Source organism: Homo sapiens, chromosome 1 (assembly GCF_000001405.40).
Source record: "Homo sapiens chromosome 1, GRCh38.p14 Primary Assembly".
NCBI classification, from domain to species: Eukaryota; Metazoa; Chordata; class Mammalia; order Primates; family Hominidae; genus Homo; species Homo sapiens.
The window spans coordinates 7,476,381-7,502,550 of record NC_000001.11 but is presented as its reverse complement, the minus strand read 5'-3'; the positions used below and the strand labels follow the sequence as shown (position 1 = coordinate 7,502,550).

At 53.0% G+C, this 26,170-nt stretch overlaps 1 protein-coding gene across 24 annotated transcripts in view, besides 4 other annotated features; it reads right to left on the bottom strand.

The window, feature by feature from the left end:
- Window positions 1-26,170, bottom strand: part of CAMTA1 (calmodulin binding transcription activator 1) — a 984,253-nt gene that overhangs the window by 267,156 nt on the left and 690,927 nt on the right. The window lies entirely within an intron of this gene.
- Window positions 12-512: an enhancer, noted in NCBI's record as "H3K4me1 hESC enhancer chr1:7562099-7562599 (GRCh37/hg19 assembly coordinates)". NCBI's record gives its function as "activates a minimal SCP1, AML or CMV promoter by ChIP-STARR-seq in primed H9 embryonic stem cells {active_cell/tissue: H9 hESC(primed)}" and the evidence as "EXISTENCE:reporter gene assay evidence [ECO:0000049][PMID:30033119]".
- Window positions 1,104-1,604: an enhancer, noted in NCBI's record as "H3K4me1 hESC enhancer chr1:7561007-7561507 (GRCh37/hg19 assembly coordinates)". NCBI's record gives its function as "activates a minimal SCP1, AML or CMV promoter by ChIP-STARR-seq in naive H9 embryonic stem cells {active_cell/tissue: H9 hESC(naive)}" and the evidence as "EXISTENCE:reporter gene assay evidence [ECO:0000049][PMID:30033119]".
- Window positions 1,605-2,105: an enhancer, noted in NCBI's record as "H3K4me1 hESC enhancer chr1:7560506-7561006 (GRCh37/hg19 assembly coordinates)". NCBI's record gives its function as "activates a minimal SCP1, AML or CMV promoter by ChIP-STARR-seq in naive H9 embryonic stem cells {active_cell/tissue: H9 hESC(naive)}" and the evidence as "EXISTENCE:reporter gene assay evidence [ECO:0000049][PMID:30033119]".
- Window positions 10,215-10,850: an enhancer, noted in NCBI's record as "H3K27ac-H3K4me1 hESC enhancer chr1:7551761-7552396 (GRCh37/hg19 assembly coordinates)". NCBI's record gives its function as "activates a minimal SCP1, AML or CMV promoter by ChIP-STARR-seq in primed H9 embryonic stem cells {active_cell/tissue: H9 hESC(primed)}" and the evidence as "EXISTENCE:reporter gene assay evidence [ECO:0000049][PMID:30033119]".

Sequence of the window (26,170 nt, the reverse complement as noted above, 5' to 3'; positions counted from 1 at the left end):
GAGTCCTTCCTCCAAGGGCTCCCTCACTAAAGAGGCCACTTGCAGAACGTGGCTGAGCTCCTGCCCAAGCCAGGGACCAAACAAACACTTGGAATTCGTAAGGAGATTCTGCTGAGCTGCCGGAGCCCATCAAATTTTTATTGAATGCATTTCCTCTGGAGAACTCGTGTACTACATCCTGCCTAGGCTGTATTAGAGGAATAAAAATTCCACACACAGCCCTGACTGCAAATGTTCCTTCCTAGAGCAAAGGACACACTTCCTCCAAAGCCGCTTCTCTGCATGAAGACTGGGTTTAGGCTTGCCGTTGGCCAGGGTCTGGAGGGGTGTGGAGAACTGGACCTCCAGAGGGGAGAGTGGGGTGGAGACCACCCTGTAAGCCCTAACCAGCTGCCTTCCGGGGCTGTCGTTGACCTTGGACCCATCCTAGCAACCTGCAATCTGCTCACCGCTGCACCACATGTGCTAACCCTGAGCAGAAAACCAGCAGGCGCCTTGCTGCTTCCTCCTCCGGGGGGCTTGAGATTGCAGCCAAGGCAGAGGATCCCCTAGCTTCCTCCCCAGCCCCTCTGCAGTCTCAGAGACTCAGGCTTGCTGCAAACACCAGGGGTCCCAAAGCCCTCAGCTGGAGGCCTCAGGGGCTCAGGGAGAACCCACTGCACATGTGAGCCCCCACTGAGCTGCCGGCAGCTGAGGAATTTGGATCCCAGTGGGTGTCTATGCATCCTAGAACCCCCAGACTCTATTGCTTTAGTAGGAGTGGATGAAATCGGTGTGAAAGCAGGAGGTGGCACAAAGAGGAAAACCCACAGCAGAAGAGCCCACAGTGGAGGGTGCCGATGACATGTCAATTTCAGATAAACAATAAATCAATTGTGGAAGTATATCCCAAATACTGTGTGGGACATACCTAGACTAAAATAAAAAAAAAACTGTTGTTTATCCGAATTTCAAAAGTAACCAGGCATCTACAATTTTCATTTGCTAAATTTGGTAAGCCTGCACCCCAGCCTCCAGGGCCTCCAGGGTTGACAGCACAAACCATCCCTCTCTCCTCTTCCCACCAAAACCCACACCCCGCCAAGCCCAAGGCCATCCCTAATGAGATGTCTTTGGCGAGCATTCTCCCTCCAGCGGGCTCTGGAGCACAGAAACCTGAAGCAGCAGCTGTGAGGGCACATCTGGTCCGGAGATCCCGGGAACAAAGGCCGTTCTCAGGCCTCCCTTCCTCTTGCCTGCCAGGACCTGTGGCCTGCACTTCCCATTCATCTCAGCAATCTGCCTCCCGCCCTTCTGTTGGACTTTTCTCAGCTTGATGCCTTGCTCTGCTGACTGGAAGGGCAGGGACTGAGGCAGCCTTCCAGGGAGAGCCTCCCTGGAGGGTCTGGGGAGAATGCCCTAGAACCTGCTTACTCAGCATACTCTCTCGGCTGCCTCGCCAGCAGTGGTGTCAAGGACGAGGGGTGGCGCGTGGCACAGGTGGGTGGTAACCGCTTCCGAGGATCTGTGCTTGCTTTCCTGAAAGGTCTGTGTGAGGCAGCTTTGGTCCTGCAGACCCTACCTCAGTCCCCTGGGGATGGCTCTCGGCCTGGGCTACGGTTCCCAGAGTTTCTGCCTGGGACCCCTCTTGCCAGTTGGGTGTGACCAGTTGAGCATGAAGCCCTGATGTCTCCTGGGCTTGACAGCGGCCACAAGCTCTGCCCTGGAACTGCCTGATGTCACCGAGACTTGCTGCTTTAAGGCAGCAAAGGAAAGAGGTTCTGCTCCCTTCTCTCTGAAGCCACCCGCAGACTCTGAGGCAAGGGAACACCGGCCCTCCCTCCATCTGGACGGAGCCAGCCCACGCCTCTGACTTTGAGCCGTGGTAATTGAAGCTGGGCGACCACAGGCAGGAACACGGCCTGAGCAACAGAGGGCCCTTGAGAGGAGGCTGCTGCTGCTACAGAAGCGGGCAGGACCCACGGGCCCACCCAGGGGAGCAGGGCCGCGTCCTCAAGACCAGCGTGCACAGAGTGGGCGCAGTAGCCTGAGCTTTGCTCAAGAAGGTCTCCAGACCTGCAGAGAGAACTAGATGCCAAACACCAGAGGCTCACACACACTCACTCATGCACACACACACACAACAGGCTCACACCATCCTCTCTACACACTCACTCACGGACACACATGCACACACACACTCATATACATACACACGCACACCAGGCTCACACCATCCTCTCTACACACTCGCTCACGGACACACATGCACACACACACTCATATACATATGCACGCACACCAGGCTCACACAATCCTCTCTACACACTCACTCATGAACACACATACACTCATATACATACACACGCACACCAGGCTCACACCATCCTCTCTACACACTCACTCATGTACACACATGCACACACACACCCATATACATACACACGCACACCAGGCTCACACAATCTTCTACACACTCATGGACACACATGCACACACACACTCATATACGTACACACGCACACCAGGCTCACACAATCCTCTCTACACAGTAAATGTGCACATATGCACACACACACTCATATACCTATGCACGCACACCAGGCTCACACAGTCCTCTCCACACACTCATCCTCTCTGCACACTCACTCATGCACACACACACTCATATACATAAGCATGCACACCAGGCTCACACAATCCTCTATATACACTCATGTACACACATGCACACACACATACATATGCATGCACACCAGGCTCACACAATCCTCTCCACACACACTCATGGACACACACACTCACAACAGGCTCACACAATCCTCTCTACACACTCACTCATGGACACACATGCACACACACACTCATATACATATGCACGCACACCAGGTTCACACACACTCATGCACACACTCACATACACATGCACTCACACCAGGCTCACACTCACTCATGCACACACACACTCATATACATACGCACTCACGCCAGGCTCACACCATCCTCTCTACACACTCATGGACACACATGCACACACACACACTCATATACATACACATGCACACCAGGCTCACACAATCCTCTCTACACACTCATGTACACACATGCACACACACACACTCATATACATATGCACACCAGGCTCACACAATCCTCTCTACACACTCATGTACACACATGCACACACACACTCATATACATACACACGCACACCAGGCTCACACAATCCTCTCTACACACATGTACACACATGCACACACACTCATATACATACACACGCACACCAGGCTCACACCATCCTCTCTACACACTCACTCATGTACACACATGCACACACACACTCATATACATACACATGCACACCAGGATCACACCATCCTCTCTGCACACTCATGGACACACATGCACACACACACTCATATACGTACACACGCACACCAGGATCACACCATCCTCTCTACACACTCACTCATGGACACACATGCACACACACACTCATATACATACACACGCACACCAGGCTCACACAATCCTCTCTACACACTCACTCATGGACACACATGCACACACACTCATATACATACACACGCACACCAGACTCACACAATCCTCTCTACACACTCATGGACACACATGCACACACACACTCATATACATACGCACTCACACCAGGCTCACACCATCCTCTCTACACACTCACTCATGCACACACACACTCATACATACACACGCACACCAGGCTCACACCATCCTCTCTACACACATGTACACACATGCACACACATACATACACATGCACACCAGGCTCACACAATCCTCTGCACACTCATCCTCTCTGCACATGCACTCATGTACACCCATGTGCACACACATATACACACATACATATGCATGCACTCAATGTAGTCATACATCCACATACATTCACATGCATGCACACTCATACACACACTGCACACAGATGTTCACACTCACACGTACACACACATGCACATGCATATACATGCATATACAGGTAGATTAACATGCACACATGCAACACAACATTCCTATGCATATACACCCACACCCACACTCACTCTCATACATGCTCACACATCCACACACACTGTCATGCACATTCACACACACTCATACACACGCACATCCACACACTCATACACACTCATACACATTCACTCACACACATCCACTCATACACACACATCCACACTCACTCTACACACACTCATACACATCCACACTCACTCTTACACACACATCCACACTCACTGTCACGCTCATACACGCTCACACTCACACACGCTCTCTCATACACTCTCCCACACATCCACACTCACTCTCATACACACACATCCACACTGTCACACACACACACACTCACTCTCATACACACACATGCACACACACTCACAAATCTCCAGTATCCTGTTGCTCATACTAGTGAGCAGGGGACGTTTCCTCCCTCCCCCTCTCCTCAGGATGCTCCCCGCACCCCTTCCCCACTCTCACCCCCTCTTTCCATAAGGACTCTCCAGGAAGGACTGGACTCATCCCAACATGCCAAGGAGAGACTCCCACAGGGAGCACTGAGGGCCTCGAGTGAGGCCCAGCAGACAAGGCCTGTCTTCCGAGCAGCCCCGTCATCTCTCCTGCCTGGGTTGTGGGTGGGCTGCTTGCATCTGTCTCTGCCTCAGTGTTTTGACTTTGCACAGTAGAATCCACATTAGCACAACTCTCCAGAATGAAAATGGCCTCCCAGGTGTCTAGCGCTGCCCCCCTTACTAAGGCGCACTCCAGTCCGTCTGCTCTCTCCTGCCGTCATGGCTGAGCTCTGTCATATTCTCTTCTGGGCCCTGAGTTTGTGTGGCTGTCTCTCCAGTCAGGGAAGTCCCTTAAGAGAAGGTGCAGTGAAAAATGAAAGTGGTAGCATTCATGAGAGTACAAGAAGCACAAATGGAAGGCACCACGCAATGTGACGTGAGAGATTTCCATTCTAGAATCTCACCAGGAACGTGTGGGTGAAGCAACAAAGGCTGATTTGTGGTTGTGGCACCGTGCACCAAAAGAGATTGCCAGCATGCAGGGCTGGGGATGTCATTCCTGTTCTCTAGATGGGCCGTGCCTTGTCCAAGGTTGCCCAGAGTGAGGAGCAGAGCCAGGGTGGATTTCAGCCAGGGTATAGGCTTTCTGCCTGCCCAGACACCAAGAGGTTTGGAGGATGGGATGGGGCCTGGGCTTGGCCCCCTGCGTGAGCTGTTGACATGGGGGAGGTGGCTGGCTTCTAGCTCCAGGCCTCCTCAGGGACAGCGCAGTGTCTGTGACCAGCCATCGTGTCTGATGGGTGGGGATTGGGGCCTCACAGGGGCTCCATCTCCAGGGGAGGTGTGAGACGGGCAGCTTCTCCCGTCTGACAGAAGCCATTCAGCGAGTGGCCTCAGGAGAAGCGGCAGCCACTTTTCTTTCTGCTTATCTTGGGTGATGAGTTTAATGTTCAGTGAAACTGAAAAGACCGTGGCCTTGGTGGCCTCAGCTATTTTTCTCGAGCCCTAGGTCCCCTGGGGTGGACCGTGGCTTGGCTTTTATGCCTCCCTTCCCGGGCTGTGCCACTTTTGCATGGCCTAGGAAGGGAGAGTGTCTCGGTGGCTGCTCAGGATGGAGGCTCTTGGGCTGTGTCTGGCCTGAGGTTGCGCTTGCTGACCGTGCAGTGACTAGCAGCCCTGGGAGGTGGTGTTGGGGCCTGGGAGGCCTCCTTCCCTGGCCGTGCCTGGGGCCAGGGTGCTCTTAGGAGACGCTGGACCCCTGCCTACTGGGAGGCAGAGGGATCAACAACACGACCTTCCAAGCACCTTCCTCTCCAAGGACCACAGGACAGGGGTAGGGGATGCTGTCCTCTCTCCCTGCCTTTATTTTATGAAGTAACCACTTTTTAATTATAGCCAACACCAGATAAGCAAAGCCCAATGGAGATGCTGGGGATTAATCCCAGGGGAACATTGCTGCATCTGAGGCGTTGCAGCCACCTGGGTACAGGGCAGACACTGCAGCCAGCAGAGCCCATGTCCGCCCTGTCTGCTGCAGGAGGACCTGGGCACGCATGTGCACACGCAGGCTGTGACAGGTTGGGGGACACAGACAGTGCACACGGGACTTGCCCCTCCCCACAGTCTCATGCTCTTTGGGGCTTCATGTCCTCACCCACATGCTTACCCTTGTTCAAATCCCTGTCTGCAGGCCACGCCCATACCCGGAAAGTCACGAGCTCACGTGCCCCACATAGAGCCATCTTACAGAGAGCCCACAACAGCCACACACTTCTTTCCCTCTCCAGCACCTCCTCCCGCACATGGACTATTTTTCAAGTACAAAGGAGCCCCCAGCCTATTCAGACTGCCTGTGTGAGGCTGACCTCAGGCAAAGGCAGCCCGGGGAGAGGATGGCCACACAGCTCTGAGCCGGCCCTCTGGGTCCTGGCGGCTGGGTCTGCACAGGCCGCTCCCCTCCGGCTCCCTGGGGCAGCCCAGAGAGCTGGCCCTGGGCCAGGATAGAGAGAGGAAATGGTTCCCCAGTTCAGAGGGCCAAGCAAGGAGCTTTCATCGACCTGAAATGAAACGATGGCCAGGAGGTGCTCTGGGCAAGACCAAGACAGGACCCTGGGAACAGGCAGTGCCCGTCACCTCCCAGGACTCGCAGGCTTTCCTGGGCGGGTTTAGCCTGGAGGAGCCCTGAGAGGAACTCTGTTCCAACAAGATCTAGGGAACTCTGGCTTAAATGACACAGTCTCTTGGTTAACAAAGTCCTTATGAGCAGAAATCTCCCTGATAAACACTTAAATCTGGGGGTAGGAATTTTCATTCCGCACCTGGCCAGGGCCTATGGAGACTCCAGGGTGGATCCTTCTTTGCCTGGAAGAAGGCAAAGTGTGTAGGGTGTTTCTTCCAGCCCTGGGATGCTAACAGGCTTTGCCAGTCCAGGAATGAGAGGCCAGGCATCAAGAGTCCTGACAACCCGACTCAGGCTCTGCCTGGCTGTGCCAGGAGATGTGGGGCCCTGCCATGCCCAAGCCGGGTAGATGCCAGCTGGTGGTCAAGGCAAATCACTTCTGGGGATGGAACATGGGGCCCCAAAGACAAATGATCTTAGATCGGGCTCTGATGTCACAAGGAATTCATCGCCTCCTCTCCCTACGCTCACCCACATCCCAAACTTGATCCTCCTCACAAAGCCCCCAGAACACAGCTGCGGGAATCAAATGAACTCTAATCATGATCGTTGAAGATCAAGGCATGACAAAGCCCAGTGGGAAAACTTGCTAAATAATGGTTTGTAGTTTACCCCCCGAAACTCTCCAGATCTTCCGTCTCTCACGAGGATGCAGGCTTGCTGTCTGGTTGGAGATAATTATTAGGTTTCTTAATTATTTATAAGTTTGCATCTCTTATTTCTCTGCAGCTACCAAACAAGAGCCTGAGTTTGAGAGGATTTAAACGACGGGGGCAGCCACTGAGGGGCAACTGCATGGAGCCCAACAGAGACCTAGGATCCTTTTCTCAGGACAAGAAGCAGGAGAGGGCTTGGCCCCACTCACCCACAGTCTCGGGATCCCAGCCCCAGTCTGAGGGCGTAGAGAACAGGAGGGAAGGGTCAGCGTCCTCTTCCTCAGGACACTGCCGGCTTGCTGGTCAAGGCTGCCTGTTCCCTACTTGTTCCTCCCCTGGCTTCTATCTGGACCAGACCTCTTGGCCTTTTATTTTTTATTATTTTTTTTGAGACAGGGTCTCAATCTGTCACCCACGCTGGAGTGCAGTGGCGCCATCTCTGCTCACTGCAATCTCTACTTCTGGAGTTCAAGTGATTCTCATGCCTCAGCCTCCTGAGTAGCTGGGATTACAGGTGTGCGCCACCACACCTGGCTAATTTTTGTATTTTTAGTAGAGATGGGGTTTTACCACATTGACCAGGCTGGTCTTGAGCTCCTGACCTCAAGTGATCCGCCTGCCTTGGCCTCCCATGGTGCTGGGATTACAGGTGTAAGCCACCGCACCCGGCCCCTCTTGGTCCTTTGACCTCTGCATCCCCCAGACCCCAGCAGCTGCTCTTGGCTTCCCGCTCATGGTTTCAACTCCCCGGAGACGGCCAGAGCCCCTCCATGCCTCAGCCCTCCTGGCAGATGCCTGCAGCTCAGGAGATTGAATTTATTCATATTTCCAGGTGCTGTACATTCTGATGAGGTTCTTCTCCGGATCTCCTGCCCAGAAAAGGATAAATATTTCTGATCTATAGCAAATGTGTTTTCCTTTAGCTAACATCTTGGCAGGCAAGTACACTAATCTCTCAGGAAAATCTAGGGCCTGAATAGCAAGCAGATTTTTCCCCCTCTGAACAAATAGAAATTCTGAGTTACATTTTTTTTTTTTTTTGAACAGCAGATCTGGAGAAGAATCGCAGTCCATGAAATCTGCATCTCTTGAAAGAAAAACCCAGAAGGCCACCTCCCTATCAAAGGCAGAATGAACCCAGTTTGGAAACGTGTTTAAAATGCACGGGGGAGTGGCAACCATCCTAAATTACCCCGCTAGCCCTCCCGAGATGGGCAGGAGAGGCCGGCGGGTGGCCTGCTGAGCCTGGGAGGCAGAGACGGGGAGTGAAGCCACATGGCCCCATGGGGCCATCCAGCACTGCAGAGGTCTCAGCAGCATCCCGCCCCCGACAGGTGCCACGTGACCCCCAAGCTGAACACAGAGCACACACCCACAAGACTACAAAATCTCCCAACAGCCTCATTTCATAGAACTGCATTTCGCTGACTTCTGTAGGATGCGTGGCCAGGGAACCCTTTGAGGGAATCCTCGAGAAGGTGCCCTGAGTTTACAGAGTGGGCAATGTCCCCTCAAGGACAAACTCTTCCGCTGACCCCCCCCCCCCCCCAGTTCCCTGGGGGATGGATGCTGTGCTTTTGAGGAATAAAAGAAAGGTCAGAGAAGGATCTAAAGTGTGTGGATCCGTCGTTGCGTGCCTGGTACTGTGCTTGGCACTTTCTTATGTGTGCCCCTGCGCGTGTGTGTGTTTGTATGGTTATGTGTGTGCACGCCTGTTTATATGTTTTTGTGTGTTTGCACGTGTGTTTGTATGTTTGTGTGTGCATGTGTGTATGTAGGTTTGTGTTTTTGTGTGTGTGCACGTGTTTGTTTGTGTGTGCGCACGTGTGTTTGTATGTTTGTGTTTGTGTGTGCATGTGTGTGTACGTAGGTTTGTTTGTGTGCGCATTTGTATGTTTGTGTTTGTGCGCGTGTATGTTTGTGTGCGTGTGTACGTAGGTTTGTGTGTGCGTGATTGTACGTTTGTGTGTGCGTGTGTATGTAGGTTTGTGTTTGTGTGTGTGCGTGTTTGTATTTGTGTGCGCGTGTATGTAGGTTTGTGTTGTGTGCTCACGTTTGTATGTCTGTGTGTGCGCGTGTGTGTATGTAGGTTTGTGTTGTGTGCTCACGTTTGTATGTCTGTGTGTGTGCGCGCGTGTGTATGTAGGTTTGTGTTTGTGTGTGCGTGCATGTGTGTTTGTAGGTTTGTGTTTGTGTGCGCGTTTGTATGTTTGTGTTTGAGCGCATGTGTATGTAAGTCTGTGTTTATGTGTGCGTGCGTGTGTGTTTGCAGGTTTGTGTGTGTGCACGTGTGTATGTAGGTTTGTGTTTGTGCATGTGCGCGTGTGTTTGTAGGTTTGTGTTTGTGCGTGTGCGTGTTTGTATGTTTGTGTGTCTGTGCGCGCATGTGTATACGTAGGTTTGTGTTTGTGTGTGCACTTGTGTATGTAGGTTTGTGTGTGTGTGCGCGCGTGTGTGTATGTAGGTTTGTGTTTGTGTGTGTGCCTGCGTGTGTGTTTGTAGGTTTGTGTTTGTGTGTGTGTGTTCGTATGTTTGTGTTTGTGTGATTGTATGTGTTTGTGTGCGCGTGTATGTACATTTGTGTGTGTGTGTGCACGCGTGTGTGTATGTAGGTTTGCGTTTGTATGTGCGTGCGTGTGTGTGTTCAAGCCCTCACAGTGCTATGCAGGAGCGGATGAGCTCTCTCTCTTTCATGGCCATGGAAACCCTTTCCATCCTTCACTGCTGCCTCCTGAGCAGCCCGGGGGCTGGTGGCAGGGGCATAGAGCACCCTTGCTCATGTGCACACCCCAGCTGAGGATCCCAGACTGCAAAAGGCCGGAGCCAGCTCTTCTGAGCCTCTATGCATGTCACGCCCGTAAGCCCTGCCCAGCCCTAAGCAGGGCAGAGCAGGTCCTGGGCCCCCGTAGTGCCTTCCTTTTATCCTCTTCACTGAGAAGTTGTGCTTTCTGCCGACTTCACTCTATAAGCTGAGTGTATCGCCCTGGCCTTCCTCGCAGAGGATGATGGGAAAGACGCTCTACCAAGGAGGACTTGCTTAGCAACTTCCCAGCTGGGGTGACCATCATGCTCTTGGACGGGAGGGCACCCTGAGCCTAGTGGGAGCGTGTCCCATCCTAGACAGGTTTCCTCGACTCCACCCTAGAGCCAGGGAGTGGCCTTGAGCCTCCTGTTTAGAAGCTCTAACCAAGCAGGTGACATTCTGACATCCACAATGTGGCAATCAAGACTTCCAGGGTGAGCTGGCCAGAGCTGTGGACACAGATTCGGCAGCAGCATGGGTCTTTGTTTCGTCGGAACACCAAAGCCTCGGCAGAAGGGAGCCCATTAAGTTTGCATTTTCCATCATGGAGCAAGTAAACAAACCCAGAGGAAGCTCTGCCCATCACTGAGCTGGCTTCGCGACAGGAAATGGTATGAGTGACTTCGTTTTTAAACATTATTATCCTCTTGAAAGCAAAAGATAAAGGATGCCTTGAAGCAGCCAAATTGCTTTGGCTCAAAAATCATTTTAAATACCATTTCCTTTAACAAGCCTGCTGCCTGGGCAACGGATCAACACTATTCATTTTAACCTTAGTCAGTAGAAAAAAAAATCACCGAAGTGCTTGTAATTATTTAACGCTCTGCCTTTTTCCCCGCCCAGATTGGTTAACTAATGACCAAAACAATGCACGCCAAGCCCTGTTTTAAGCAATTGGACAATCGGCAGTACACGCAGAACATTCCGGAACCATCTTCCCTCTGTGTCTACTCTAAACATGGGCGGGGGGATTCAGGGTTAGTTTTGGCCTTTTCCAGAAAGTGAGAGAAATAGCCTTCCCCTCTATGGTTTGTGTTTGTGAAATCACCAGGTGGGGGTGAGAGTTCACCCGTGCCCGTCCTTAAGTAAACAAGCATCAAGAGGCTCCTTGAGAAACCTTATGAACAGGAAAGAGGGTGGGTGGAGTCCTCCCGGCTCTGCCTTGGTGAGTGCGGCTCAGGTGATGGCAGGGGGTACATGGAGGCCGGGGGTGGTCTCTCAGGGTGCTGTACAGCCCAAACACCATCAGAAAAGCTTGGAGGAGTTCAGATGTGGAGGTAGACCATGCTAGAGCCTCCTTTTTGTTTTGGAAGGGAACAGAAGGAGTTTCATTAGGTTATTTGCAAACAACAAAACTCACACAAATTCAAAGAAAATGACATTCACAGAACAAAAGCTGAGTCAATGGATCGGAGCTGGAGTGGGGAAGAGACAAGCACAGAAGGAAATATCTTTGCTACCGAAGCCAGAAGTCCTAAACTGCTTTGGGGTTATGTCCTCAGCCTGGAGGCCCAAAGTCTTCCCAGGAAAGAGCATCCTGCCTGAGAGAGGAAAGCACCTCCCACTTTCTGCATCAAGGAGAGGATCTCGGCCTGACAACCCAGTCAGAGGACTCCTGCGGCAGCAGCACCTTCTAGCACAGACCTCAAAAGGTAACGCACGGTGGCTGGGTGCCAAGGCCTCAGGTCACACTGGCCACTCCCTGGCAGAGGGGCTGCTTTGTCACTTTTTTTTTTTGAGATGGAGTTTCGCTCTCGTCACCCAGGCTGGAGTGCAGTGGCACAATCTCGGCTCACCGCAACCTCCGCCTCCTGGGTTCAAGCGATTCTCCGGCCTCAGCCTCCCGAGTAGCTAGGATTGCAGGCACGTGCCACTACGCCCGGCTAATTTTTGTATTTTTAGTAGAGACGGGGTTTTGCCATGTTGGCCAGGCTGGTCTCGAACTCCTGACCTCAGGTGAACCGCCTGCCTCGGCCTCCCAAAGTGCTGGGATTACAGGCATGAGCCATCGCGCCCGGCCAATCACTGCTTTTGATAATGACAGTTCCGACTTTATGGAGGGCTCACTGTTGTGTTCTGGGCAATCGATGCCCGCGGCAGTGACCGCACATTCCTAACTGCATCTCTTATGGAAAGCACATCTCCACATTGTGCACGGTGCAATCCCATGCGAGGAGGCATAGCAAGGGAAGCTCAGCACCAGATTCACCCAGAGGACAGGCTGGTCCTGGATGTGGGGAGAAGAGCTATTTGCTCCTATCGTACTCTGCAACATTAACTAGGATGCCCGAGTCACTCCTGTAGCAGAAAGCAGTCACCCTGAAGCAGAGGCTGCCGCGGAGGGCTTCACCTTCAGGACGTCACCACAGAGCAGGCCTGTGAGATCCAATATCCCGGCGTGGAACATTTCCTCGGGGATCCAAGTGCCCTCCCGTAACCGCTGAAAGTCACCCCATCTGCTGAGCAGCCAGAAGCAAGCTGATGATGCCAGTAGCCAGTCACCCCGTCTGCTCGGGGCCAGACATGGAGGAGTGGGGACGGACATGTCCCACCCTCGTCTAGGTCATGGGATGCTGGCCGAAGGCCCCTGGCATGGGAACTGCTCCGGGCCAGGGGTTGTGGAGGGCTGGACAGGAAAGGAATGAGGATCGCCTCCACCACTACAGCCTCAGGAGGGTGGGGAGGCTGGATGCGTGCCACTTTAACGAGTGTGTATTTACCAAATGGATAAATTCTGCGCAATGCTTTGCATTCCAAATAACTTGCCACCAGGTCCCTTGTGAGTCTCCACCTGCCTAGACTGTGAGCTTCCTAAGGGCTGGATCACCCCTGCAACCCTAGCACCTGGCATACTACCTGACCCCTAACACGCATGGATGCCTAAGGAGTGAGTTCCTCCGACACCTGGAGAACGAGATGCAGAGGCTCGCCGGGAGCCCCAGTGCCCTGCATGCCAATGGCACACATCTTCTCCAAACACAGCCTCTCTCTAAAGAGCTGCCTCAAATCAGCCATGCCTTGCCCTGACAGCTGTTTCCTTCCCCTGCAAAGACCCTCGAAAGATCTCTTGGCTGTGATTTGATTTGAGCTCTTCTGGAAGGTCCTATAGAGGGCCTTATCTAGGTTGTTGAATCTTTTTCAGCATCTGGAAACGGGGGACAGAAACAAATGGGAGTGTGTCTAGGGGGCGGCAGGCATCATGGCCCCCCTTCCCAGGCCAGGGCCCACCTGTGGCAAAGGAGGCCCCAAATAATAGCCATCCTGGTTTTCTTGCATGTGAGGCCACGGAGTGTGGTAGCTGTTGCCGAAGGTGACTGAGGTGGGGAGAGCTCAGATTTACCCAGAGGCTCTGTGTCCCTCTTTGCAGAAATGTCAGAGCCCATGTGGCGCTGGGGGTGGCAGCGTGTGTGTGTGTGTGCTTGTATGTATATGTGTATGTGTGAATGTGTATTGTGTGTGACGTGTGCATGGGTATGCATGTGTGTATAAATGTACATATGTACACGTCTGCAATGTGTATTGTGTGTATATATGTATGTGTATATCATGTGCATATGTGTGTGATGTTAAGGTACATATTTGTATTACATGTGTGTATTTATATTGCAAATTACAAGCATGTGCATATGTACATGTATGTGTATATATGTGTACATTTATGTGTACTATGGGTATGTATGCATATGTATATATTTATGTGTATATGTGTGTGTATGCAAGTGTTTATATGTGTGCACATATGTGCTTATATGTATATGTATATTGTATGTGTATGTGTTACATGTATCATGCATGTATGTGTACACATGTGTACAGATGTATGTGCATGCATGTGTACAGATGTATGTGTGTGCATGTGTATTGTGTGTACATGTGTGTGTATGTGCGTGTGTGTGTATTGTGTGTGTGTGATGGGATGGGCAGAAATAGGCTGAGTTGTTGTCCCTGATCCCAGCCCCTCTCAGGGTCCCTTTGCTCCTTGGGGCTCCAGGAGCGAAGCTGGGGGTAATGAGGACTCCTTGGAGCCAGTGGGGTGCCAGACACCAGGGTCTGGAGCCATCCCTGGCCACTCCAGGCCTCCATCCCACATCCTACCAGGAGCACCCACACTTGGCCCAGCCTCACAGCTGCTCCAGCCCCCTGTCCAGGCGCTGCTGCTGGAAAGGCTCTGGTCACCTGAGAGCTCCTGGGATCAAGCACCTAGAGAGATTCTAGAGAGATTGCAGAGAGATTCTAGAGGGAGATTCCAGAAAGGCTCCAGAGAGATTTTAGAGAGATTCTAGAGAGGTTCTAGAGAGACCCAGAGAGACTCTAGCAAGATTCCAGAGAGACTGCAGAGAGTAGATGGGAGGAGTCTCAGAGAAAGGGAAGGGAGAGCCTGGCTCCAAAGGCAGGCAGGCTTTTCCTGAGAGGCTGTGTGGGAGGTGGCGGCAAACGACACCACTCCGGGGAATGGCTAAGATGCTCCCAGCAGGGCCTGGGGTCCTGAGGCAGAGCTGTGACGTGAGCAACCGAGGGGCTCAGCAGAAACAGCAAAGAACCTGGACAGAGGGGAAGGGGATGGAGGAGATCAGGGTGAAGGACAGACAAGGGCCTGGGATCCCTTCCTCTGGGGGGCGATAAGAATGCTCTGGAAAGTGCAGCCTTTGGGGACACTCAGTTTCTTGCAGTCTTGTCCCTCTGCTCTTCAGTCAAGAACTGAGCACCTGCTGTAAGCCAGGCCCTGTGCGGGACCAGAGAGCTGAGAAGACACCGCATCCTCAGCCTCAGCCTCACCTGCAGGCTGCAGCAGGTCCAGCATCTGAATGGGATGCTAGAGAGCACGGGCAGGTCCTCCATGGACGTCCAGACAGAGCTGGCACTAGGGTGGAAATCTCAAGAGGTGCCCAAACACTCAGCCATCAAGACAAATGCCACTGCAGTGCAATACTTTAAAATATCAAAATTAATCCAAGAATCCTTGATGAACAAAATATCAACATTTTAAATAAAGACAGGGTCAGTCTGACTGATTTTTCCCTTTGCCTTAAAGCTTTGGTGTAGCTGGGCATGGCCCCAGAGCTGGGGTGGGGCTTGACCCTGAGTAAAGGTTTCTTACCCCAAAGTGCTGCCTTCTTAGTTCCCTCTTGGTGGCCACAACTCTTTGCTCCATGGTTAACTGAGGAGCTTGAAGAGTAGCCGATAACCGTGGAGGGGCCTTCATGCACTTGCTACAGGAGGGAGGAACACGAGACGCATAGATGGGAGACAGACCAGCTGCGGGTCAGAAAGGAGCCCCTCCTATCAGGAGCATCTGTGCTCATTGAGCATCTACTATGTGCCGTGTATCACGCTAAGTGCTTCACATTTGTTAGGGATTTTTCCCCTCCCAACAACCCTTGAGTCAGGTGCTATTCTCATTTCTGTTGTACAGGTGAGGAAGCTGAGGCCCAGAGAGGCTGAGGTTAAGCCACTTCCCTAGAGAAGTCAGGGGTAGAGCTTGGGTGTGCTGGGAGGGCAGACTGGGGAAGCCGCCGCTTCTGTATCCAGGGGGTTGCTCACAGGGCTTTCAGAGGCAGGACCTTCCCTCAGATCCTGCCTTGGGGAGATGGAGCTCCAGGGAGGAAAGACAAGGTTCACCCAGAGTGTCATTTTGACCATCAAAGTGGAACCCAACAGCGGCACTGCCATGACCCTGATGAAAGATGCACTTGGGTCATCCCGGACACAGGACAGACAGGGAGCCTGAGATTAGCTAAGCCTTAGGTCTGGAGGAGCTGAGCTGTAGCAACAGGGGACAGAGACCACCCTGGAAGTCAGGTCTCAGAGGCCTAAAGCAGGCCCCCGTCAGCCTTGGAAGTCTCCATGGCGACAGATGACTTGCCCCAGGGGAGGCTCAAGAGGGAGACCCTGCCTTTCATTCCTTAAGGCATGAGCATTATCAGTCTTGGCCAGAAGTAGAGAGGCCCAAACAGGTCCTAGGAGGTTGGATGTGCAGAGGCAATACAAGACTGGGTTGTTGGAGCTGGCCTGTACTGGCTCATGAAAGCAGCCTGGTACATTTTTGAGAATTTTGCAATGGATATCATGATATCATGTTGGTAGCTTGAAGACAGCTACAGTGGTGGTATTTACACCATAGAAATTGGCAAACGTTACCAATCAGAAATTTTTTCTTTCTCCTGGAGAGCCAACTGTTAGGCATTTCCAGCATACCACTGCTTTGCAGGACAAAATCTGAACACCTACGAAAATCTGGCCATTCTGCAAACTGTCACACCGAATTGAGGAGCAGTTGCATGTCTCTTCCTGAAAGAGGCAATCATCATCTCAAACAGCAGTTATATGCAAACGTCACTTCTGGAGCTGGGAAAGCATGGTCTGTTTCTGGCAGTAGAATGATCTTTTATCTAATTAAGCTCAACTTGGGCTAATGTTGTGAGCGTGCACTCTCTGATCAGACACCAACAGCTGGCGGCTGAGGTGCATGCCGGGGTGGCCTGAGAAGCTGGTCTGGAGTGTTAAAAGTGCTGTGGGTTGCCCACCATCTCTATTGAGAGGGAAGTCTCAGAAAGAGCCCAGCCATGCAGTCAGGAAGTTGGGGTTCAAGCCCAGCTCTTCTGCTAAGTCACTGGGTGTCCCTGGATAAGTCATTGGCCTGCCCTAGGTGACAGCTTTCCCATGCAAAGCAAGGCACTGGGCCGGATGGTTTCTGAAGTCCTGCCTCGCCTGGTGGGGAAGGGGCAGAGTCATTGTGACTCAGTGGGAGGGGCTCTCCTGGACTCACCCAGGGGCCCAGAGCCTGGCAGGGTCCCAGCAGCAGAAGATCCTGCCAGTGACTCTGGCAAGGAACGTCAGCCCCAAACCCCAAGCATGCTGCACTCTCTCTGCTGTGGCTCTCAGCCCGGCACTGCCCATACTACTCCAAGTTCAGAATTATGGCTTTGGCAGAAGAGGCTCCATGACCAAACCCTTTCACCTTCCCCAGCTGCCCCCAAAGGCAGCTGATCCCAGGGAGCTGAGAGCAGCATGTGGCAGGGAGCACGAGTGGCTGTCAGGAGGGTGGTGGGATGGGGCTTCCTTCTTGTCTCCCCTAAGGCAGTGGGAGTGACTGCTCTGACACACCCTGAGAGACGAGGCACGATGGAGACATGGGTGACAACTGGCAACTGCAGCTATGTAATGCGCGCACAAGGGCCGTGGCTTTCAGGCTCAGACATCAGGGGACACAGGGAGGCCATTGGCCAGGAAAGGGTGGGGGACTGGGGATGGGCAGCCAGAGAAGATCCTCCTGTGGAATTCTGAATCCAAGCCTTTTGGAGGCAACAGAAGGGGCTGGATCCAGGTCCGGGCAGCTCTGGGGACATTCCCAGAGTCACCAGGGCAGGCATGGCCCATGGTGAGCGTGGGCCGGTGCTTGGCCAAGGTCTTTGGCTGTGAATGCTGGAAGCAGTGGCCTGGTGGGTCACAGTGTACAACTCAACTGATGGCCAGAGAGGGGAGAGAGCCTAGGACGGGGTCTTTGTGGGCCCAGCTCAGCACGGGCGGCTCTATCAGGGGTTATCACGTGGTTTTGTAACAACACAACGGTCATGACAACAGCCACGATTTTTTTTTTTTCTGAGACATAGTCTCGCTCTGTCGCCCAGGTTGGAGTGCAGTGGTGCGATCTCAGCTCACTGCAAGCTCCGCCTCCCAGGTTCATGCCATTCTCCTGCCTCAGCCTCCTGAGTAGTTGGGACTACAGGTGTCCACCACCATGCCTGGCTAATTTTTTATATTTTTAGTAGAGACGGGATTTCACCGTGTTAGCCAGGATGGTCTTGATCTCCTGACCTTGTGATCCACCTGCCTTGGCCTCCCAAAGTGCTGGGATTACAGGCGTGAGCCACCGTGCCCGGCCACGATTGTTATCTGAATGCTGGTCTATGTCCGACCCTGTGCAAAGTGCTTTAAAAATTCTGCGGATGAGGAAACTGAGCCCCTGGTTTTGGGTTAATTAGCCCGAGGTGACACAGCTCCACGTGGTTGAAGAAGGGGGATTAGAACCCAGGTCAGTGTGAACACCCAGGGCCTGACCTTGCGGCTGCATCAGGACAACCCTTTCCAGGCCTCCTGGGGAGAGGCTCAGTCTCCTGGGACTGGGGGCCAGCCTGAGTCAGGCTGGTGAGCCCCCCGAGGGAAGGCGGACCTGAGGTGGGCCCCCCTCTGTGCCAGGTACTCACCCACCTACCCACACCGGGTCTGCCCTGGGATGAGCTGGTGATGGCCCTGCGGCCCCAGGCCACGGTCTGCAAGTGGCTGTGTTTTATGTCTCTTGCTTGGTGAGGCTCAGAGTGAATGCTGGGTCTACAATATTTTAGCCCATAATGAAGTGAGCACTTCCTACCTACGAGGGTAGTAAGTGCAGGGCCAAGGTGGGGCTCCCCCAGTCTCCCTGGCCAAGGGTCAAAGTGGGAATAAAAATGATAGAAAGGTCCTCTGCCCCAGGAGGGAACAGGCCCAGGAGGTGTGTGGAGCTCAGGCTGCTCACGGGAGCCAGGTCAGGGGCTGGCCGACTCCAGGAGCCACCCCTGGGGTCCTGCCACGGCCTGTGGGCTGCGTTCTCCAGCTCCCTGTGCACCTGAGGAGTCCTCCAGTCAGCAGGAGGCTGCAGGAAGGTGAGGTTTCCCTCCCCAGGGTGGGACGAGACTCTGTTCTGCAACCCCCTGCTCCCCGCCCTGGGCTACTGCCCTGTCCTGGGGTCAGCAAGATGCCAGCTCTCAGCCTCCCTCAGGACGCTGGGCCCCGGCAGCCTGAGGTCAAGGGGGAATCCTCCAGCCCCTGCTCTGGTTCCTGGCTGATCTCCCTGCCCAGAGGCTTTTACAGTTCTCCCCAGGAAAGGAAGGGAACTTGCTTCTTCCCAGTGGCTTTGGCTGCGATCTGAGGGGGCTGCATTCCTTGTCTCTGCCCTTCCTCAGGGTGGGGAGAAGAGCTCCCCGAGCTGAGGGTCTCCCTCCGGCCCAGGCTCCCAGACTGCAGTCTCTGGCCGTGGTGGCTTCTTGTCGCTGCCACGGGCTGCTCTGCACCAGATTTTAGATTGAACTCAACATCCCTTCTTAATGCAGAATTTGCATCTTAAACTTCTCGTGGCTGAAGCAGGACTCCTGATTTCCTCCCTGAGCTCTCTTCCTCCGGTCTGACTGCAATGACAAATCTCCATCCATGCAACCCTCCTTCATGCCTCTCTTTCCCTCACTGCCTCTTTCCTGCTCTCAAATATGTCCTGAGCCTGCAGGGGGCTGAAGGATTCCCCCTTGACCTCGGGCTGCTGGGGCCCAGCTTCCTGAGAGAGGCTGAGACATATTGAATGCAGAGGGGTTGGCTCAGCCTCCTGTCTGGAGTTCTGCAGCCCTCTCAGGCTGTAGAGGTGGCCCCAGTTGGCTGGCACTGGCTCCAGGCTCACCCTGGGATGACATGGGGTGGGGCCTGGGCACATTTACAGCTCACATCACTCTGACTGAGAGGAGGTGTTGACAGAGCCCCTGCATCAGGGACCTGAGCTGGGGACTTTCCACAGGAGACGCCTGCACCCCAATGCCACCTCCTCTGCTGCAGAGAAACTGAGGGCACAGATAGGGCAAAATGAGACCCCATGGGAGCTCATTTCTTTGGAACCGACAGTGTTTTTCTGAGAACTTGGTCTCCAAACTAAGAAACCTTTTAGCAATTCAGGATCAACAAACGTTTCTGCCCCGAATTTCCTTCTCAATCCTCCAAGCTAAGCTCACAGAGAATTCTCATGCCTGGTGTCACCAGGGTCACCCTTTCTGGGCATTCCAAAGGCTCTCTGATGCTTTAGTTCTGCCCAAGCTAAGGCCAGTTTAAACTGTATCTCTAAAGAGCATGTCTTCTCCCTCTTCAGGAGGATGGAGGGAGGTGGGGACACACTGCGTGGAGAGCGCATCCATTCTGGTGTCTTTACCGAGTGCTGACGCTTGTGCTCGTGGGGCACAGCTGGACCTAGGGGCAGCTGTGGGAGAGCCTAGGAGAAACCCCAGGAAGTAGTGACCTGGCCCTGCCCTCAGGAAGCCCGGTGCTGGATGGATGGACACCATTCACACCTATCCAATAAACAAGTACTTATGTGCTAGGCATGGCTCCAGGCACTCCAAATGTAGCAGTGAACAAAACAGATCATGCCCCTGACCCTGTGGAGCTTATGCTTGAAGGATGGGGCTGGGCTTGGGGGGATAGACAAGGCATAAATAACACAGTAGGCAGTAGCAACATGATGAATGGCAAAATACGATGTGGAGTGAAAGAAGCCAAGTATATACCTGAGTGCATATACTGCAGGATTCCAGTTCTACGAAGTTCTAGAACAGAAAAAATGAACCTATAGTGGAGAAATCAGAACAGTGGTGGCCTCTGGGGGTGAAGTGGGTATTGACTGCAAAGGGACACATGGGTACTTTCTGGGGTGATGGCGATGTTCCAAATCTTGATGTGGGCTTAGGGTATGACTGACGCACGCATCGATCAAAACTCATCAACTAGTGCACTTAACATGTATGCATTCAATTGTTTCACAGTGTATAAACTTTACTTCAAAAGCAAAAAAAAAAAAGAACTGTATGCAAATATTGAACTTTGGTTAATGCTATGCACCTTGAAAGACTTGGGGGAGGTGTGCTGTGGCTGTTGCTTACTTTGAAATCCTCGAAAAATTGCTGGATAGGTGGAACACGTAAGTGATCAAATGATATGGTCAAATGTTAACGGCAGAATCTGGGTGGCAGCTGTACGGGTGTGTGTACAATTCTCTCAACTTTTCTGTATATCATAAACATTTCATCATAAAATGCTGGGGAGGGAGGAACAGAAGGGCTTGCCAGAGAGTGAGGGAACAGTAGATGGAGTGTCAAGAGGGCTTTGATGTGGAGTTGAAAGTTGAAAGGAGACCTGAATCTTAGTGTGAACCATGGAAGGTCCAGGGCAGCCTCCAGTCAGAGGGAGGAGCATGTGCAAAGGCCCTGAGGCACGAAAGGACCTGACTCTTTGAGGAGAGAAAGAAGCCAGTATGGCTGGAGAGTGAGCAGGGAGAGGAAGACCAAGGTCAAGGGTACAGGTCTTCAGAGGTCACGGTAAGGTTTTGGACATTAAGTGCCGTGGAGACTTCTTGAACTGCCTGAAGCATAAGGGTGATGTGATCTGATTTGGGATTTAAGTGGCTGCCCCCACCGCTTTGTGGAGAGTGCAGCACAGGCTAAGAAGGAGGGACTCCAGCTCTGGGTAGGAGGGAGCCGTGGCTTAGGGTTGGGAAGCAGAAGAGAGGGAGAGAAGGAGGTGGGTTCAGGACATATTTCTGAGCAGGAAAGAGGCAGTGAGGGAAAGAGGGGCATAATGGAGGGTTGGCTTGAGCCTCTGCATGACGGCGAGCCATCGATGCTCTAAGGCAGGAGGAAGAGCAGTTCAGGGAGGAAATCATCATGAGTCCTGCTCTAGCCGTGAGAAGTTGGAGATGCAGATTCTGCATTAAGAGAGGATGTTGAGTCGGGTAAAAATCTGGTGCAGAGCAGTGAGGCAGGACATAGATATGAACGTGGGAGTCACTAGCATACAGTTGGCACTGGGGCCGTGGGGCTGGATGAGATGATCCCAGGAGAAAGTGTAGACAGAGAAGAGAAGGCCTCAGCAGCTCAGGGATAGTCCAGCATCGGGGGGTTGAGCAAGAGGGATTGCCAAGAACAGAAAGGAGGGAGATAGCCGGGAAGTCTCGGCAGCAGGGAGCGTTCATAAGGAGGGAATGGCCGCCTGAAGAGGTGCTGCTGGGAGGCCAGGAAACATGACGATGGCACAGTGACCTTCTGGTATAGCAAGGCAGAGGTCATTAGTGACCTCTCCAAGAGCCTCATCGGGGCCTGGAGGAGAAGGAAAGCTGGAAGGAGCAGGGGGAGAAGAGGAGGAGAGGGGAACTAGGGGCGAGGATATCTCTCTCTGTCTCTCTCTCTCACACACACACACACACACACTCTCATATACGCACATGCAGGCACTCACACACATGCACAAACACACACATGCACATATACATGCACTCATACACACACACACTTACAAATGCACTCATACACACACGCACTCATACACAGATGCACTCACACACATACACACATGCACACACACGGACACATGCACTCACACACACGTACACACATGCACTCACACACATGCACACACATGCACTGAGACACAAGCACACACACATGCACCCACACGGACACAGGCGCTCACACACACATACTCACACACACACACACGCTCTCACACACAGGCACACACACGGACACATGCACTCACACAAACACACTCATACGGACTCACACATGGACATACACATGCACTCAGAGTCATACACAAGCATTCACACACATGCACATACATTCACATATATACACACTTGTGTACTCACACACTGACATACACTCATACACACATATACACATTCACACACATGCACACACACATATATCTTCTAGGGGTGCAGAACACTGAGCTGAAGGGAAGCTGAACCCACAGGAGCACTTGGCTATGTGGGTTCGGTGGCTGCCAGCCAGTGGGGCTGCTCTGGCAGAAGCAGATAAGGGACTAGGTAGAGAGGCAGAATTGCAGGAACAGCAAAGAAAGACATGAGGCAGGATGGCTCTGCATGCTGGGAGGTGGCCTAGGTTCCAGAGGCTTCAGGCTTGGGATGCTGCTGAGCTGAGCTAGGCTGAGCTGGGCTGGGCAGGAGGCTCGCCAGCACCAGCGCATCTCACATGACAGCCCAATGAGGCCTGGGGAAGACACACCCTGGGCTCATGGCTGCCTTCTCCCAGCAGCCAGGTGGAGTGAGAGGACAGCTCTGTTAATATTCCCCATCACCTACAGGGACCCTGGCATGTCTGGAAAAAGAGCATAAAATCCCCCAGGACGTCCTGCCCATTTTGGGGTGGTGATGGGGATGGCAAGAAGCCTCCTTCAGGTACCACCCCCACCCCAGATCCTTACTCCAGCATGAAGGCAGGAGAACTGAGAGGGGAGGCTTGTGGCGCAGTGACGCCTGTGTACAGCTGTGTGCACCTGTGGGTACCTGGGCGCACCTGTCTTCACCTGTCTAGGCAAAACCATTTGCCAGGAGTCCGAAGCAGGTGGTGTGTCTCCCGTGGGAATATACAACCTGCATCCCGAGAGCCACTGAAATATTAATGGTGCTAAAAGCAGTGATGACACCATGTCATGGGACTTCCTTGTTGAGCTAGAGTCTCTGACACGCCCACACAGACCAACATCACCAGCTGGGTGCAGCTGGAGGCCCAGCAAGCTGCTGACGTCCACACGCAGAGTGGGTCACCCACCGCCCACGTCTTCCACTGCATTCTGTCCCACTACGTCTGGATTTCACTCTTTGCCCTTTGAATCACGTCAGAGGCAAAAGAGAAAGTGTTTCCTTGAGGCAAAGTTTTGTCTTTTGCTTTGGAAACTACAGTCTCCCCTTTGCTCCAAAGGAGATTAGAATATTAAGGACACAATGTCAGCTGAAGATTACATGAAAAGGATAATTAAACAAAAGCCCCATATTATAAGCCATCTAGAAGGGAAATTAAGCAGCTTCTGCATTCTCCACATCTTTGAAGGATGTTCTTAGAGGGGGCAGGAATTGTTTGGCTTGATAAAGATAGTAACCAAACTGTATTGCCCATTGTTCTGGCTGTATATGAAAAGCGATTGTTTAGCCAAGCTGACAGCACACGCTGTGGAGGCATAAACCCCTCTGCCGACGGAAGGATTAAGAGACTGACAAGTTCTGGATAATAAGACTAATTAATAATTTCCATCTCTAAGGAACTGCGGCTCCGGAAGCTTCATCCTTCCTCTCTCCCAGTCAAGCCTGGGCAGCCCAGTCCCTAAGGGCTGAGGGACAGAGGAGCGTCGGCAGGCCAGGCCAGGAGAGGTCCTGGTGGCAGTCACAGGGGATGGTGTGGAGCAGAGAGGCTCGGGGAGGGTGGCACACAGGAGACAAGTGCCAGAAGGCAGAGCTTCCATCTCACTCAGCCAGACACCAGATTCCCGCCTGAGGCTGCGGAACAAGTGAGTTTTGTTCCTAATCACAGTTGCATCTCACAAGCCTAGCATTTTGCCATTTGCAAACTGGGTTGGATAGGACCTTCTCAGGGGACCCCCTTCCCCGACCACTGCTATTCCACCCGTCCAATCCCCTAGAGTAAAAGCTGCTGGAAAGGGTCCTGGTGGGGTGAAAACAGCCACCACTTCCCAGGGGGCTGCCGAGTCCAAAAGACCTCTGTGTGTCTTAGCTCAATTCATCTTCCCATTCAGCTCAGGAGGGAGGTATTTTATTTTATTTTACCAAAAAGGAAATAAGGTTCAAAGAAGTTGATTCAGTTGGCCAGAGTCACTTGGCTCATAAGGGTGGTGATGAATTCAAAACCTTTGGCTCTGGTGGTCCCACATAGGTGGCCAGGAGGAAGACTTTCCTGATGCCCCGAGGTCTCCCCTGTACTCAGTACCCACTCGTCCACACGGCGGGAGCAGAGGGTGCCCCTCCCCAGAGGGCTCTGGCCACATAGCAGACGTTGGCCGCCGCAGTCTGCAAGGTGAAGGGTGAGCAATGGGGCCTGCAAGGGGACCCTCTGAGAAAGCCGACTGGATGTCCTCCTGTCGCCCAGTCCCCAGAGGCGGGGAGGGGTGAAGGAAGGAATCGGGAAGAGGGAATCTTCTAGAAAATGCCCAGTGACTTTTCTCAGAGAGGATAATGGCCGTTTTGGGAGCTCTGCCATATTTTCTGGAGGCTTTAGGTGGGTACAGCAGTGGCCTTGGCATCGTAAACTGCAATCAGGCAAAGATGTCTGAGCGGGAAATACTGTCCGCTCTGCCGTGCAGCCTTGGCAAGGGTCCTGAAATCTTAATGGAATTGAGCAATTTTTTGCACAGCACCGTAAATTCCCAGTGTCTACCTTATCTCCTCGTCACGTTATTCAAGGGACATTAAATGGAGAAAGATGTGGAAGCTGCCAGCTAGAATGAAGCCAGACCCAGGAGGCAGCTTAGGAACCCTCTGGCTGACACAACCTTTCATCCTCAACTCTCTTTTCCAAAACCCGCCCCTCCCCAGCTGCAGGAGGGCTTTGCCGTTTACTAGTCCAGATGAAGCTTTCGAGGCGGCTTCTAAGACCAGGGCTGGGTTTCTATCCCTGGCCCGCAGCTTCTGGACTGAGTGAGTTTCTCAGTGTCACCATGGTCACTCCTGCCAGGGTTTCCTCCTACCTGGGGCACCGCTGGAGCCCTGGCCTCCCTCACACCCCCTTGCCCTTCTCCTAATTATCTAATGGCGCAAGCGTCTGCTGGGGTCTTGTCTTTCCTGCAAGGTCTGTGAAGCGAGCCAGTGTCTGGGTCTTCAGCCAGCCTTCCCTCTGCATGGCGGGGGCTGCGGAGGCCTGACCTGAAGCACAGACCCAGCCTCCTTTCCACATGGTGACAGTGACTAAATGCTGGCCTCACAGGCAGGCTGAGTGCTTGCCCGCAGCCTTCGATGACTGTTGTTATTGCTACTGGTGACAGGATGAGGATGAGGATGGCCACTGCTGTCACTGTCAGCTGTGGGGAGCTTGCATGGCCATGTTGAAGCTGCATGCACTGGTCTGGTGAGGCTCTTCCTGTCCTGCTCTCTTCTGAGCCCAGCAGAGAGTCAGGAGGATTCCAGGCCCTTCCCCATGCTCCCCTCCAGATCACCTGGCTGGCACCGGTGCTGGGACACCTGTCCTGAGGGCCTCTTCCCAGACAGCCCTGTGCCGGGTGAGGTGTGTGGAACTGGCTCATGGGAACTGGGACCCCTCAAGTGGCCTTGTTAGTCTCACTGAGCACTTAGCACTGTGACCCATGCTTGCCCCATGTCAGAGGGCATGGAAACACCCCCTCCCCATTTCTTCCATCCTTCAACTTTGGGCTCACCTCCTCCAGGAAGCCTCCCCTGACCGCCCCGCCCATTCTG